The 17,793-nt window shown below is 33.0% G+C and overlaps 1 protein-coding gene across 13 annotated transcripts in view; it reads left to right on the plus strand.

The window, feature by feature from the left end:
* C8orf34 (chromosome 8 open reading frame 34) overlaps positions 1–17,793 on the plus strand; it is a 488,651-nt gene that overhangs the window by 198,074 nt on the left and 272,784 nt on the right. For 10 of the 13 annotated variants that reach the window (NR_146186.1, XM_047421328.1, NM_001349477.1 and 7 more), the window contains one exon: positions 4,537–4,703. Coding sequence is in view for 11 of the 13 variants with exons in the window: in XM_047421328.1 (XP_047277284.1) it covers positions 4,537–4,703 (167 nt within the window). In the remaining 2 variants the exon portion in view is untranslated. Of the gene's footprint in view, positions 1–2,146; positions 2,234–4,536; positions 10,763–17,793 lie in introns of those variants that run through there. The other 3 variants (NM_001195639.2, NM_001349480.1, NR_146187.1) reach the window with 2 other exon arrangements.

Consider the following 17,793-nt stretch of genomic DNA (forward strand, 5'->3'; position numbering starts at 1 on the left):
CCTTAGTCAGGTTTATCTCTGCCCCATCATGGTAATTTGTCCCTTGGATATGCCCTCAAGTCTTCTGCTCCTCTTTTCCTGTTTTACTCTCCTGGAAAAACTCTACCATGTTTACATCTAATTGTTTCCCTATTCTGTGGCTGAACCAACCTAGGCTAGAGAAGGACACATGGCCACACTGGCCAGTATCACTGAATTCACGACCACCAAACTCCAGGGGCACACTGGTGCTACCCGGCAATGCAGCTGCACCTGCCTCTGCCATTCACATATTCACTCTCCTCAATGATGACTTCACATTTTTCCTGCTCTCCCCCAATCTCCAAAACTTTTCCCCATCATCCTTATTCTTAACTAATGACTCTGTTTCCCATTTCAAAGAGAAAATAGCTGCAGTCATAAAGAAAACCTCCATAAGCTTCCTCCAGCAGACTCTCTGTGCACCTGGCTTATCTGTGCTCAGGTTTTCTGCTCTTCCCTATGGCTATGGGTGAGTCACTCATGCTCCGCCTAGGGCAAGCTCCTCCACTCAGCGCTAGGTCCTTACTCTAAATCACCCATGTAAGCTCATCACTTCTCTTCATTCCCTGCACCATTCCTTTCTCCTAGCTCATTCCCCTCAGCATGAAAGTACGATGGAACTTCTCTCTAAAAAGTGAAGCCTCCCTGGCCCCAGCAATTAATTGTTCTCTGTCTTTCATTCAATTTACAAAGAAGCTCCTCAAAGTAGTTTACTTGTGTGCACTGACCCCTCATTTTGCAATCTTTTCCAAATAGAATGTTATTCCCACCACCTATTGAAAGCAACCTTGTCAATGTCACAGGACGACCTCTTGTCCAAGTTACCCAGTGTCAGTCAAATGACCTCTGCCTTCTGAAATTCCAACCTCAAGTCTCAGCCCCCATCTTACTTGACCAAACAGCAGTGTTTGAGATTTCATCTCTCAGTTATTTATTCAAATATTTTCCTCGCAATCCGTATCTGTAATTGTGAAATTCAAAATGCTCTGACAATGAAAGTTGTTTTCATAATTCATTATAGCAAAACCTGATCTGAACCCTGCAGATTCTTTATTTATCCCACTCAGTGGGAATGCTGATACATAATGATGTAGAAATACTGAAGTATTTGATAACAGGGTGAGGCCACAGACCCTCTGGAATGTATTATATAATATAGAGTTTATGCAACAGAACACATCCAGCCTCAAGGATTCTAGAAAAACAGTTATGGACCTGGAATAAAATTCTAAGCTTACAATTGGTTAGATAACACTCTTTTTCTGTAAGTAGGCATGTTTTGATAATATGTTTGCCTTTTAGAAATAATTATATTATGTTTTATAAACTGACATTTGATTTATGCTTATTCATATAAAATAACATTTCAAGATACAGTATATATTAATTTTGCATAAAATATTTAATATCTAACCATCCTATATATATATTTAGGTACATAGTAAGCACAAGCAGTAGTCAGAATGTACATATAACATCTGCTTCAAACAGTTATACTTTGTGAATTATTATTTAACTCCTAAGGGGGAAAATCGCCTTAAAGCCGTAACTGTCTTTTTACATGAAAACATAAAATATATTTGGTAAGCATAGAATATTATAAAGTATAATATTCTATTACATTTTGTTAAATTTACAATATAAAATTTAAAGTTATGAAGGAAAATTTAATTGATTTATTAAACAGACCTAAGTAGAGCTATTTGCCAGGCACTATTCTACATTTATTAACCCTTTTTAATAGTCCAACCACTGGATTATTAAATATATTGGAAGTACTACAGTAAGCTGCATTATGGATAACAAAACTGAGGAAAAGAAAGAAGTAACTTGCCCCAAATTATTCATCTTGTAAATAAACTATGTTCAATTGTCATTCATAGCAGTATCTATATCCCTTCTAGTAGTCAAAATCAAAAGCGAATGGGGCTAAAATAATACATGAATATTGTTATTTTAAATGAATTTAATTTAGATAAAATAATTTAGGTGTTAATTCAGCTTAACATGTTAGATCTATCAGCTAAGAAATCCAAATTAAAATTTTGTTTTGATTGGTTTTGTTTACTTCTCAATGAATAAAGTTGGTCAAGGAAGACTTTAACATTGTTACATTGTTTCTCAGTTTAGAAGACACGTAATGCAATGATGCAGAGGACAGATGCCATGGCAAGAGACTGAAGCTAAATAAACTTCTTCCTTCCATTTTCAAGTGAATATTTATGTTTTATTTCCACTATTAAAGAGTAAACATGATTTTCTTTAAGTATTTGGAATGATATCGAGGGTTAGTCAAATTAAAAAATTACTTAAAAAGGGGTGCATTTTTACGACATCTTAGCAACAATCCTATTTCTGTTGGGAACCTAAGTTGGGATAGAAGATAAAATTAAAATAAATATTGCCAACATGTGTATGTTTTCATATATTTGTTCTTATTTTTTCCCTCACCTTTTTACTTTTAAAAGTTTCAAACCACAGAATATTTAAAAGTAGTAATATCAAGATCCACATACCCTCCACCTGTATTCACCAATGAACATTTTACCATCTTTATCTATGACCTATTATCTATATATCTATCATATTATCATATTCTATTTTTTGCTGAACCATCTGAAAATAAATTACAGATTTTATAAAATGTTAATTCTGTTATTCTTCAGCGTGTATTTCTTAGGAATAAAGATATTTTCTTATGTACCCATAATATAATCATCATATCAAACCAATCCCACCATAAAGTTATCTAATGTAGAGTCCACTTTCAAATGTCTTCAATTTTTCCAGTAAAGTCCTTTATGGATTTTTGTATACTTGTTTATTTATTTTTTATCTAGCATCTAATAAAAGATCATGTGTGGAATCTAGTTGTCAAATCTTTTTAGTCTTCTATAATCTACAACAGTCCTCTGCCTTTTGTTTCTTTTTTATGACATTTACATTCTTGAAGACTATGGGCCAGTTATCTTCAAAAATTTCTCCCAATCTGCGTTTGTCTGATTGTTCTCTGATTAAATTCAGATTAGATATTTTTGGAAAAAAATTCTACATAGTTGATGGGATGTACTTTCTTATTATATCATATTAGGAAGTACATAATGTCAATTTGTCCAGTATTATTGGTGATGCTAAGTTTGATCACTTGGTTAAGGTGATGTCCACCAGATTTTTCCAGTGTAAAGGTATCAGTTGCCCTTTCTAATTAACAAGTCGTGTCACTTCTGCTTGGACAAGATGGCATGGACTAATTACTTTCTGCTGTCCCTCATACATACCCCTATAAACCCTGAAATAAAGCAAGAGGAACCAAAAGAGAACTGTGAAAAGGGTACATAGGAAGGTGGAATGGTTAGGAACCTGAGGGCTGGAGGAACAGCTTAGCAGCAGGGCTCCTTGCAATTCCACACTTAACAGAATAAGGAGCATTTCTTCACTCCCAAAGTAGCAAGAGAAGGTGGCCCATGTAGGTTATTTCTTCCCCTGATTGAACAGTAGCTACACCAACAACACCAAGAGAAGCCAGAGACATAGGCCAGGGGAATTGACGATTCTCACTGGCAATACATGGTTAGGGGACATGCTTTCCTTCCCTGCCAGACTTGAGACTCCCTTTCTCCACTAAAGATGCTAGGAGAACTGAGTGGCGACAATGAATCTACCTCAGCGGCAAGAAAGAATCTACTTCAAAACATCAGGAAGGAACACAGAAAAACAGAAAGAACAGAAATATGGGTATATACAATGGACTATCCTCACGAGCTTTAGAAATGCTATTTAACTATTGAAACAAAAGTTATAGCACCATCTGATACTCAATAATATTTAAAAGTAGGGAAACTAAAGGGTCCAAAATGGAAGTAAGGTATCTATACTTTACTCCAAGTGGTAAATGTTGATATTAATAAAACAGTCTGCTGAATGTGGTACAATATACATATACATATTGTAACAGGAAGATCAGTCACTAATAAAACTATACAAAGAGATAGACTCAAAAGCACTATAAATAAAAGCAAGACAATTCAATGAGGGAGAGAATAGTCTTTTTAACAAATGGTGTTCAGACAACTATATACACATATGCAAAAGAAATTAAAGTTGAGTATTTTAAAACATCTTAATGTAATATTATAAAATATTTATTCCATCGAATGTGTTTTCCTTAACATGCATTTGCTTTGTAAATCAGGGACTAATAATCTGGACCTTCTAGCTCTTCTTTAAAAATCAGAAAATTCATCGAGTAGACTTTAATTTCCACATGGCAACAATAGGTAGGAGTAAATTAGCACCTTCCCTCTTAAGTGAGCCAAATTTCAGTTTCCCCATACTCACTTGGGAATTCCTTAGTGAGGTACGGATGGGTGTCCAAGAAAGATGATATTTCCATTATCCTTGGGGAAAACTTTAGTAACATGTCCACATACGTGTGTAATAAAATAACCAAATGGAAATTTATTTGTAGATTTTCTTTACTTATCACAGCTAATTAACATTTAAATATTTCTTCAGCTTAAAGATGGAGCCTAAGAACAAAGGATTAAAACAGCAGCAACAGCAACATAAGAAACTCCTGGCCGCAATGCTCTCTCAAGATTCTTTTGAGTCCATCCACAGCCCTACCCCATCTGTAACAGAAGAAGATATTGATAATGAAGATGATGCAATGGAATTGCTGGGTAATTTTAAAAATTAATAATTTCTCATTTTCTTCTTTGACATTGTAAAAAAAACGTGTGGTGATTAAGAGATTTTAAAAGTTTTGAATAGCCTTGTCTTAGGGAAAAGAAACCATTTAGTACATATTTTATTTACATTAGACTCACATAAAGTTGCATGTAAGAACTAAATTGAAATACCCTAAGCATATGAATATTTATTAGACTGTATTTTGTGCTTTGTGTATGCTGCACTTTACCTTCTGACTACGTAATGAAGCGTTATTCTGTGTGCAACTGTGATCAAAATTCAAGTCTGTCTGCTTTATTCTCTGATAATAATTGCCTTGTTTACATCTATTGTCTATAAAATATACCCAAAGTACATATTTCAGCCCTCACTCCAAAATGTCTACCTTTTATTTTGAGGATGCTTTAGAAAAATAGAATAAAGTTGAAAGGGGCAGATAGTAAATTCAGGTTTTATGTTTTCCGTAAATGACGGGAAAGTTTGCAGAGATTTCAAAGTTTCTTCAGGCCTGTTACTTTCATGAAACCTTATTAATCTTGTATATGTAGGATATCTTTTTATATTTTTTAATGTAGTATATGTATGTTTTTGCTTCATCAGAAATCTCTTCATATAAATTTTTAAACTGAACTTCTCTTTGGAACATCATTTTTCTGAAGAAAGAAAATGAAATGTTATTTCAGAGTGATCCACATATAAAACAATGAGTTTTGAAGTCAGTGGTATCAATTATTCTGCTACAAATAAAGAGTATGATTTTCAAATACTTTATAACAATATGCTGTTGTATTTTATTTAGAAAGAGAATAAATAATATAATTATTTGAAAGCCTTAAACACGTTTTACATATAGAATATGGAATCTCAGAAAAATATAGGCCATTTTCTGAAGTTTTTGTTAAAAATGAGATTCCTTGGTTTTAAGTGTTTATGGCAGTAAAATACTATCATTATAAAAAATGATATATTGCTTATCATTTTTGCATAGGCCTACAAAGGTGTTATTTGGTCAATGGTGACAGGTTTGAAAGATGTTTTCTGATGCTGTAAAAACTGCATTCATGCTAACATTAAGGAGATTGTATCATGGCGTTTTCATTACATGCTGTTGGTCCCTTCCAATTGGGTCTTTTCCTCACCTCCAAATCATTAACATGGCAGACGTGCCCTATGTGGCAGTGGTAGCTTCATTCAACAAACATTTACTGAGCACTTACTCTATGCTAAGCACTTGGCTGGGGTCTGGGAACATAAAAATAAAATCATTGTGATCTGTGTTTGAAGGAATTTTACATTGTAATGTTCAAGATACAATACGTCACTACCTGTGCTAACTGCGCTAATTGGATGAAGCACACAGTTGTGTATAGGGGTAACACCTAAAGCAGAGGTAAGGGACAGTGACCCAGGAATGTTTCCTAGAGAAGCCGATTACTCTGGCTAGTCCTGAAAAGCAAATAGATGTAAGCTCAGCAGGTGGGGTGTGGTCATTGTAGGTTTGCTCACGTAGGTATGGGCTGTTTTGCGATTGTGCTCCATAACTATACCTGTAAATGGTTCCTCTGCTTTGGACAGTAACAGGGAAGGGGCAACTGAGATCCAGGGTTTCTTTCAGGAGATGCAGTTGTCCACTCCATGCTGGTACTCCCTAGATCTCAGCTGCCCTGACTGAAGGTTCTAGTCTCCCAAGCTGAAGACCGAGGATTGAGTCTTGGAGACTATCTAATGATGAGCAATTAATAACTAGTCCTCATTAATTCTTTTTTTAGACATTTTAGCCTGTGGTCTGAGCAAGTTTAATAATAAGAGATAGTTGAAGGTTTGGACTTTCTTCATGTAATTCCACATATCTCAGCACAGGTGGCAAGCAGTGTAATAATGTTGGTCTCTAGGTCATGAGATTATCCTCTTATAGCTTGGAATGTTACAAGTCCACTGGACTTTATCTTAAAATAATGCCATATTCAATTTCTTGTTTTTGAAATGGATTCCAGCAAAATGTATGTGATTGTGTCTATTTCAGAAAAATATAAATGCTAAGTTCTTGGAAATTTATGTGAAATCTAATTTTATAGAGTTTATATAGAATCATTGTAAGATGCAATAGAGACATCTGGTATTTAAAATCTTTTTGAATCTACATTTTGTAGATGTGTGTGCTATAGCTTATGTGTTTGTAAATGTTTAACTTGTCTTTGTTATCTATACCAAGATATAACTGGCTGAAAAATATTTATTATGCATGGAAAGCACTCTGTAAACCTTGTGAAGTGATAAATAAGTGAAAGGTATAATTGTTAGTTGACATTAATATAAAAAAGGATTATTCTTCAATAAAATTGGTTGATTTGAAGGGAAAAAATCCTTTTAGTTGAACTAGTAGAAGTTAGTAATAACTATTGACTCTTGTTTTGTTTATTAAGGAAACTAGCATTGTTAATATATACTGATTAATATTTAATTATTCACAGTTGTTTAATTATATATTTGTGGATTTCTTTTCTAAATGTTTTAGGCATATGAAAATATTATAGTACAACACCTGTAATTTTTAAGTAGATCAAATATTTTCTGTAAGATTGCTTTAAATGCTCCTTATAAATTCACATTGCAAAAGTAACTTAATATGGAATTAACACTTGTCAGATAATAAAACAGCCAAACTTGTGAATTTTTAAGATATAATCATTTTAAGCACCTCTGAAATTGGTGCTGTAATTATAGAAGATACTGAGTAAAGTATCTGCCAAGTCATCTCATGCTCAAATATAAGATATTTTCAAATATTTTAGTACAAATATTTTAGTAATCGTTCTGGCAATTAATGACCACTATGAAAAAAAGGTTATAGAAAATCTTCACATATTTTTTAAAATTAATAAAATAAATGATTTTCAAAAATGGAATGACAAGTTACAATGGTAGAATGAGAGATTTATTGCTGGGCATAGTGGCTTAAGCCTGTAATACCAGCACTTTGGGAGGCTGAGGTGGGTGGATTGCTTGAGCCCAGGAATTTGAGACCAGCCTGGGAAACATGACGAAACCTCGTCTCTACAAAAAATACTTATATTAGTCAAGTGTGGTTGCATGCACCTATAGTCCCAGCTACTGGACTGAGTCTGGAAGGTCGAGTCTGCAGTGAGCTGTGGTCATGCCACTGTAGTCCAGCCTGGGTGACAGAGGGAGACCCTATCTCAAAAAAAAAAAAAAAAAAAAAAAAAGAAGAAAAAGAAAAGATCTATAAAAATCCCTGTATATTTTACTACATTAATTATCAGAGAACATTTGAGGAACTTCGTTAGTTTAAAAGATATTTCACCTTGGAAACATGTGCCCATTTTTCTTACATTAGATGCATTTTAATCTTATTCTTGTTGAAAGGCGAGTTTCAGTCACGTTTTTGATTATTCTCTTTATGATTGATATTCATTTAAAAATATCAGTATTATTTGAAAGATATAACTACTTTTCTTATACATTCTAATATGGGTATTACTATCCCATACAATTTGTAAAAGTTTATAAAAAATGTATTATGCTTTCTCAGAATTGATGATGAGGCAAGTATATAAAAATCAAATTCCAAAGATGCTAAAAAGGAAAACAATATTAATTATGTTTTATACTTTTTGGTCTTAGCCTATAATTATATAAAATCCAAAATCAAAAGTAAAATTACATTGCGACAAGGTGATTGCAAGTACATTTTATCTGTTTTAAAATGAATAATCAAGAACAAGTGTAATTATACTGGGATTCTTTGCTGAATATAGTCATTGAGTTTCTATTACCTCAATATGTTACCAAATTTTGTAAAATAAAAACAATTTACTAGAAGGAGTTAATACATTAAGGTGATCATTTGACACTTTCTTTCTTATATTCTGATCAACTTTTATAAAGTAAATATTCACTCTTTGTTCTGTTTTTTAAATTGGAGGCTTCTTAAAGAAGAATGTGCCCACATTGGCAAAATAAGAACAAGCATTTTGCCTAATGAGAAATGAATGCTGTCACTGAATGATGTAAAATTTCTTTAAAAAGGAGAGAGAGGGAGCACTAAATGTTTAAAGAAAAATCTACCTACCTATCCATGTACCTATATTTTAATAAAGTATGTAAAATAATCTAAAACACAAGGGACTATACATAGAAACTCTTTTTATCTCTTTGTTTCTTTTGATCTTTAGAATATTGCTCATTGGAAGTAATCAGGATAACAGAAAAGTTATCACCTTAAAATGAATGTTCTTCATAAAAAAGATTATTCATAAGAAATCTAAGGACTTTCTTTTTATTTTCTTTTTTTTTTTAAAGAGATCAAGTCTTGCTTTGGCTAATGCAGTTTGTATCACTTTCTTATGTCCTCCTTCCTGATATATTTTATAGGAGCACTTGAAAAATGAACTGCTTAGAGTAGAAAAAATCACATAAATTATAAAGTAATTCTAGCATAGACTTGAGAAAATGGTTTCTTTATGATTCATTTTCATCATATTATCATGTTAAAAAGCTTTATTTAGGATTCTTTCTTTGCTTTTGCTAAATGTATCTCAGTCCCTTTTATTACCTTCTAGATTTACTTGTTTTGTGTTTAGAATTGTTTTGTTTTTCATACCCTTCATTCTTCACTTTTGTTTTTTTCAGCAAAATATCAAAACATTTGCAAATCGTAGAGATTATCCTTTAAATAAATACAAATCTGCATGCCACCAAAATATATACATCATCCTATGTGATTTACTTTTATGGTGTTTAGTAAGAAATATTGCTTTATTTTCTTGTAAAAAATTTCCAGTGGTAAAAATAAATCAACATAGTAGAATAAACGTCAATAGTTTGAAAATGAAATCTAAACCCATAAACAAATTATTGACAAATGCCTTTTATCTCAATTATACACCTATTGGAAAATTTCTTTATAAGACACAGCCATTTCCAATATATTTGTGAAAAGAGTTGTTTAAAACCTATTTATCACTTTGAATAAGTTCCACGTTTTTTGACACATACCAATAACATAGAATAATATATTTTTTCTTGTTTATGTTATAGCTTTTCACTGAGTACCTTGTAAAGGCATGAGACACAGTGTGATTGGCATATGTGGTGGTGTTAGTGGTATATGGCCAAAGCACCAGCTTATACTCTAATGACCCAGGTCTAGACCTCATGCTACCTCTTGCTAATATTGTCCCCTCAGGTACACGTAATTAATTGTAAAGTGCTGGTGACTACATATGACCTTCCTACTCAACAGGGATGTTGAGAGGATAAAAAAAAAATGAGATATTTCTCTAAAGTGCTTTTTTTTTTTCTTTTTGTCATGGCTAACAGGAATATTTGACAAAAGACAATAGAATTTCTATACAAAACTTTTCTTCTAGATAAATTTATATCCTTGAACCCAGATACATTTTGTATGCTACAGACAAAGGAAAAAAAAAGCTTTCTTTAGCTTTGGGAAGTTGCCTAAAAACAGCAAAAATGTATGTTTCCCACAACACAATAAAATTAAAGGCTTGAAAAGATAAGAGGTAAAGCTATATGTTTTTGCAAGCCAAAATGTTGGCTATACCAACACAAAGCACTAAATTTTTCATTTTTAACTTGGATATTAAAGCAAGGATAGATGATTTGGTTAAGGATGTATAGAAAATTATTCTACTGTCTTTCATTTTCCTCTGTGTAAATGTATAATTCCTAGGAGGAAAAGAAAAATGTTTTCTGCCTACATATGTATCTCTAGTAGCAAAAGTTGGGCTTAGGGTAGGAATAAGGTGGAAAGACAAGGAGATATAGAGAAATTAGAAATTTGTACTATATGTTTACATGCTTATGTAAATAAAATTATAAAAGTGTTGAAAATCTGTTCTTAAAAATTTCTTGAATTATATTTATAAATATGAAAATGTTTGAAGCAGCACAATTTGATGGTTTCACATTAATTCACTGTGTAAACAAACCTAAACTAAATTGAAAAGCAGTGTTACATATTATTAAGGTATTGTTGCTTTTGAAATAAACTTGCCCACTTCAAATGCTTTATAAAATGGTGATGCTATATTTCAAGATCATTTGTTTAGCCATAGTAGTAATTTTCATCTAACTTGACTGAGTTTAAATTTTGTACTCTATTTAAAAGTCATTTGAAAGCAGTGCAAAATCATAACTTTATTGTAGTTTTATTCGTGGTTGAAAATGTGCAAAGAAGTGTAATTAATTCAGCACTTGGTTGCATTTTAACATCAAAACCAACAGATATTAAAGAAGCATTAAAACTCTTGATGAACTTATTAAAAATCAAATGTATAACTATAGGAATCCATTTAAATTTTCATATATCACAATATTCCCAACAACTTATTAAAATATCTCTAAATAGAAACCTTAAAATTATTGTAGTTGGCCAAGCACGGTGGCTCACGCCTGTAATCCCAGCACTTTGGGAGGCCGAGGCAGGTGGATCACCTGAGGTCAGGAGTTCGAGACCAGCCTGGCCAACATGGCAAAAATCCCATCTCTACTAAAAATACAAAAAATTAGCCAGGCATGGTGGCACATGCCCGTAATCCCAGCTACTCGGGACACTGAGGCAGGAGAATCACTAGAACCTGGGAGGCAGAGGTTGCAGTGAGCCGAGATTATGCCATTGCACTCCACCCTGGGCAACAGAGTGAAACTCCGTCTAAAAAAAAAAAAAATTATTGAAGTTTAATACTAAATACATGTTAACGGAAGAGTGGGCACAAAACTTGTCAATTATTTTCAACATCTGAAAAAATGGCAGCTTTTATGAGGTTTTATTCAAGTATTTTTAAAAAGAATATTATAAACACATTTTCAAAATCCCAAATGGTAAACTAGTCCTATGTGTGAATTATTTTTGAAATGAAAATCTTATGATTTTTCTTTTAAAAATGTCTTATGTTCAACAATTTCAGAGAGAAAATAATCATAACAATATTAAATATTTTTTTAAATTGCTCTGAAACTATTAAATAGAGGAGCACTAAAGAACAAAATGGAAAAAATATAAGTGTTCTAATTAAGGTAAATCAAAATCTAGTGATTTTATTTTACTTTTCAATTTTTTGGTTTATGTCTGCAAAAGACAGTTGAAGGTCTTATTTTAATAAATGATGTATTTCTTATATCTAGTATGAACTTAAAATTTCATATACAATTTTATGTATTTATTTTTTATCTCTGGCACTTAATGACAGAAAAAATTTCATATATAGTTTTAATTTCTTTAAAACTTTTTCAAGAATTGTCAAAAGAGGATTTGTTGGACTAGCGCTTTTTCACTTCTTAAGTGCTCTCATATGCTGTCATAGTTACTTTTTGATTACAGACATTTTGAGAGGACTCTGTATTTAAAGAGTTTAAAATAGAGGCCAGGTGCGGTGGCTCACTCCAGTAATCCCAGCACTTTGGGAGGCCAAGGCAGGCAGATCACAAGGTCAGAGTTTGAGACGAGCCTGGCTAGTATGGTGAAACCCTGTCTCCACCATAAACGCAAAAAAATTAGCCAGGCGTGGTGGTGCATGCCTGTAATCCCAGCTACTCGGGAAGCTGAAGCAGGAGAATTGCTTGAACCCAGGAGGCGGAGGTTGCAGTGAGCCAAGATCACGCCACTGCACTCCAGCCTGGGCGACAGAGCGAGACTGCGTCTCAAACAAAAAAAAAAGAAAGAAAGAATTTAAAATAGAGTATTATTAATATGGTAAAACAAAGTTTAAATTTATTGCAGGAAATTAATTATATGGAAGAGAAAATAGCATAATATTAGAAGTAATAATAGCGTGACCTTTGTGTTCAGATAGCCCTTGTTTGAAGCTTCGCCACCGACCCTAATTATATGATTTAGGGAAAGTAACTTTTTTCCTTCAAGTATCAGTCCATTATCAGAAAAATGGAATTAATAACAATACTCATATCTTAGGGTTTCGTGAGGATGAAGTAAAATCATGCATGGAAGGTACTCAGTATATCTGATAAAGAATTAGAGCTAGTTCCAGGCATGCTGGCTCACACCTGTAATCCTAACACTTTAGGAGGCATAGGTGGGATGATTGCTTGAGTTCAGGAGTTCAAGACCAGCCTGGGCAGCATAGAGAGACTTCATATTTATTAAAAATTTAAAAAAAATTACTTAGGTGTGGTGGTGTACGTCTGTAGTCCCAGCTACTTGGGAAGCTGAGGGGAGAGGATCACTTGAGCCCAGGAGGTTGAGGCTGTGGTGAGCTATGATGGCACCGCTGCACTCCAGCCTGGGCAATAGAGTGAGATTTTGTCTCAGAAAGAAAAAAAAAAGAAGAATTAGAGATAGAGAAAAGACTTGTTACTATAATTCATATCATTTTAATACCAACGCCTCTCCTGTCTTTAGCATGTAAGTTTCGTGCATGTTATAAAGTAAGACCATAGAAGTTTGGCCTTAGGGGTTTAAATGCTTAGTCTTATCCTAAATATCTCAGTTAGAAATGCTCCACATAGTTAGAAATTATTTCAACAAGTACCATCTTCTTGATAGTTAAGTCTTACTTCTAATTTCTTCCCTTCTTTTAAAGATCACAGACAACTTTCTGAAAAGATCATGGCATAGAACTTGAATTTTCCCTAATGTGTTAGAATGAATCTTGGCCTATTCACTTATTTAAAGACAGTACACTCATTATAAAAGAACATTATCATGTTCAAATTTTTCATGTAGTTTGACTGAACCAATTATTTTAAACAATTTGAAATATTCAAGCTTTTTATTTAAAAAGTATCAAAAGGTAAAATGATATATCTGGTTTTCTATTATATGTATATGCATTTGTTTTTGTTATTAGGTGGGTGCAAAAGAAATTGCAGTTTTGCCACTACTTTTAATGGCAATTACTTTTGCACCAACCTAATACAAGGTTACTTGTCTCCCTGATTTATAGTCATAGACACTCTGGGGTTTTCCTGTAGCATGGAAAAGATGGTATTGGGCTTGTAGAAACGTACAACTTGATTGGCCCCCATGAATTCCAACTTACAGTGGGAATGGAATGTGCAGAATTCCAAGCCTGCCTCAAAGAAATAAACATTTTCCAAAGCTTATACAGGCTATACACTACCTTTGTATTACAATGCATTCTCTTATCTTCTCACAATACAGAGAATCCACATCTAATAATATAAGAAATATATCAAGAGATGTCAGGGAAAAGGGACAAAACTTTTCCTTTCTTTTCTTTTTTTCTCCCAGGTTACATCTGATTTGCTTATCTTTTCTTTACGGACTTTTTCGCATTTATGATCTGAAACTTTCACAGTTAGCATTGGTAATATTTTGATACCATCTGAGTTCTACATCTTGGTGGCTGAGTTAAGGGCATCTTTTATAGAAAGTAGTTTAAGATAGGAAAGATATCTTTATTCATATATATAGTCTAAACACAAAAGGGCCAAGCAAGTTCTGTGCAACTCTATTTTGATAAGGAAAATTGAGAATGTGAGTGGAGTTATTTTCCAACATAAAGCTTTCAACTGAGAGATAGAAAGTCTTGAAAACATACATTTTATTTATTTATTTTTATAATCAGTCTCTGCTTATCCAAGAACATACGTTTTTTAAAAACCCACCAAAATCACAAAAGCATTTCTTTTACAATAAGGTTTAGATTATTTGCTCATGGAGCTATTTCTTTTTCTGCCAAGTAGCAAACCTGATTGTTCCTTTAGAAAATGCCATTTTGTTTAAAACATACTCTCTAATCATAAAGAGTAATACCATCATACTATACATATTTAAAAACTTATTCTTTATTTTCCAAGTTGTATTATTGCTTTCTCTAGTAAGCAGCAGTTTAAGTAATTTTTCCATAAACAAAGAAAACCAAGTGAGAAAAGCCATATATGGTCATTACTGATCTTAAAATTGTTTCAGGATCTTAATATTCTTAGTTCTTTCTGCCACTTCGATATTCAAATATGCATATTATTAATATGCTTTCATGGTTTAATACCTTCCTAATAAGCAAAAAAGTTTAGACATTTGAACAAAGAATGATGCTTTCTGAAAAAACTATTGGCATTTGTAATTCAATATAGGCTAATTTCAGGGCCTTTTAATGTGAAATCATCTGAGATTCAAATTTCCTTTTAAATAATATTAATTTTGATTATGAAAAGATATTTAATGTAGAAAGCACAGAAATACAGAAGTCAAAATGAATAAATAAATATTACCTTGGAATAATTACTGTTGATGTTTTAGTGATGTGCTTTCTAGATGCTTTTGCATATAGTGCGTGTAGAATAACATTAACATTTATGTACATTTACAATATACAATGTACTGTGCTAAATGATTTCTGTATATTACTTAACAATCACAAACATACAGTGGATCAGGCAATATTATTCTCACCACAGAAAAGGACACAGATTCTTGATAAACAAAATTTACCCAGATTACATAGTTGGTACTCAGGAGTCAGATTCCAAAACCTGCAATTAAACACTAACTATGCAACACGTAAACATTAAAATCCAAATTCATATTAATATTTTATATTTACATGAGTATATATGTAGTTTTCTTCTGATAAAGTTTTTGAATTTAATATAGGGGCTCTGTTTCCAGTCATAACAGAATAACTGGTAATAACTGGCTGTAACCCTCCACATTGAACAGTTATAAAACTGGACAAAATATCTGAACTTGACTCTTTAGACTCTGAACAAAAGGCAGCACAGGTGTTTGGTTCTTGAGAGTAGGGAAATAAACAAGGTGAGCTCTGTGTTTCACCCCGGCTTTCCTCATGGTGACACTCCCCTGGCCAACTTGTTTGAAAGTGGAACTCAGGTGTAGAATGAAGAGTGGTGATCCCACAGACCTAAGGAGCAAGAGACTGGCATTTGGGATTGCTGAGGTGACTGGTGTTTGTTGAACACCAAAAGAAGAAAGCTGAGAAGAGGGTATGGACATAGTCTACAGGGGTGCTCCTCTTGGGTTCGTAGCTCAATACTGGGATGCTCTTACAAGAGCAGGACCACTCAAGACCTGAGAGAATGCTTATTGTGTCTGAGAAGTGAATAGAGAAACAGAAACCAAACTGAGCTGGGACACATCGTAGAGCTTTTACCCAGCAAGAAAGAATAAATCTCCCTGAATTTCTTGGTCACTCAAAGGAAACCTTGGAAAAGTCAAATATTAGGGACACACACTGAATTGACAGCCATGCCTAAGAATGAGGAAAGCGTTTAAATAGACCCAACTAAACCCATGAGTACAAAGGTGAAGTTGATCTGTCCATAATTTAATTCCTGACAGAACAAAACTCAAAACTCAACATCCTTTAGAGAAGACCACATAAGCCAGCATCCTTAAAAAGAATCAACAGAAAGTAAACAATAGAAACAGACCTCAATATATGCAACTGTTGTAATTAGCTAACAAAGACTTGTAAAAAGGAATTATTGTACATATTGTATGCATTTAATGGAAAAGAACATAAGGAGTAAATAGATGGAAAATCTCAGCAGAGAAATTGAAACTAGAAACAGAACCAAAGAAGAGTCTAGAATTGAAAAGTTTAGTATCCAAAATTTTAAAAACCATTTTGTAAGATTGATAGCTTATCAAATAATTCGGAAAAAAAATCAGCAAATTTGAAGATACGTCAACAGAAATAATTCAAATTGAAAAGCAAAGATTAAAGAAAAAATAAAACAAGCTTCATTGGTCAGTGCAACATACAAAATAATAAGAAATTTTATCAGAATTATGCAGATAATGAAAGAAAAATAATGGAAAAAAACATTTTAAGAAATAATGTCCATTTTATCCCCAAATTTGGTTACGAGCATGAATCCATAAGAAGTTCTGGATAAAACAGGATCAGAAAAATACACCTAGCCATATTGATATGGTTTGGCTGTGTCCCCAACCAAATCTCAACTTGAATTGTAGCTCCCATAATTCCCATCTGTTGTGGGAGGGACCCAGTGGGAGATAATTGAATCCTGGGGGCGGTTTTCCCCATACTGTTCCCGTGGTAGTGAATAAGTCTCATGAGAGCTGATTATTTTATAAGGGGTTTCCCCTTTCACTTGGCTCTCATTCTGTCTTGTGTGCCACCATGTAAGACATGTATTTTGCCTTCCTCCATGATTGTGAGGCCTCCCAAGCCAGGTGACACTGTGAGTCATTAAACTTCTTTTTTTCTTTTTATAAATTACCTAGTCACAGGTGTGTCTTTATTAGCAGCATGAAAACAGACTAATATACATATTATAGTCAAACTGCTAAAATTCAGTTATAGATAGAAAAACTCAATAGCATTCAGAGAAAAAAAAGATAGTACAGTGGTGGAACAATGATGAAATATCAGCTGATACTTTATCAGGAATAACTACGGCCAAAACACAATGGGATAATAGCTTTGAAGTGCTCAAAAAAATGCCTTCCAAAATTTTACATCCAGTAAAAATATTGTTCAAAATGATGGCAAAATAAAGATAGTTAAGCAAAAGCTGAGAGAACATGTTATCAGCAGACCTGCATTATAAGAACTGTTAAAGCATCCCTCAGGCTAGAAGGAAATGATACCAGAGGGAAAATCAGATCTATAGAAAAGAATGAAGATTAGCTGAAATGGTGAATATGTAAGACTATCTTACTTTTCATTAATTTTCAAAGACAATTGACTGCTTAAAGCAAAAATACAAACAATGTAGTATAGAGTTTATAATAAACACAGCATTAAAATTATGTGATAAAACAGCACAAAGAATGATAGTAAATGAAATTACAGTGCTAAAGCTTCTACATTATTATAAGAGGTGATATAATATTTTTTGTAAGTAGAACATAATAAATTGGGAATGCATTTCTTTAATTCCAAGAGCAGTCACTTAAAAATGTTAAAAAAAGTACAAAGAGTTTTCCCTAAAAAGCTAATATAAAACATCACATAGAATACTAAAATATATTTGACTAAGGAGGAACTAATGCACACAAAGCAGTTGGGGCAAATAGAAAATAGCAGAATGGTAAACTTAAACCTGAACACATTAATAATTACATTAAGT

Source organism: Homo sapiens, chromosome 8 (genome assembly GCF_000001405.40).
Source record: "Homo sapiens chromosome 8, GRCh38.p14 Primary Assembly".
Taxonomy (NCBI): domain Eukaryota; kingdom Metazoa; phylum Chordata; class Mammalia; order Primates; family Hominidae; genus Homo; species Homo sapiens.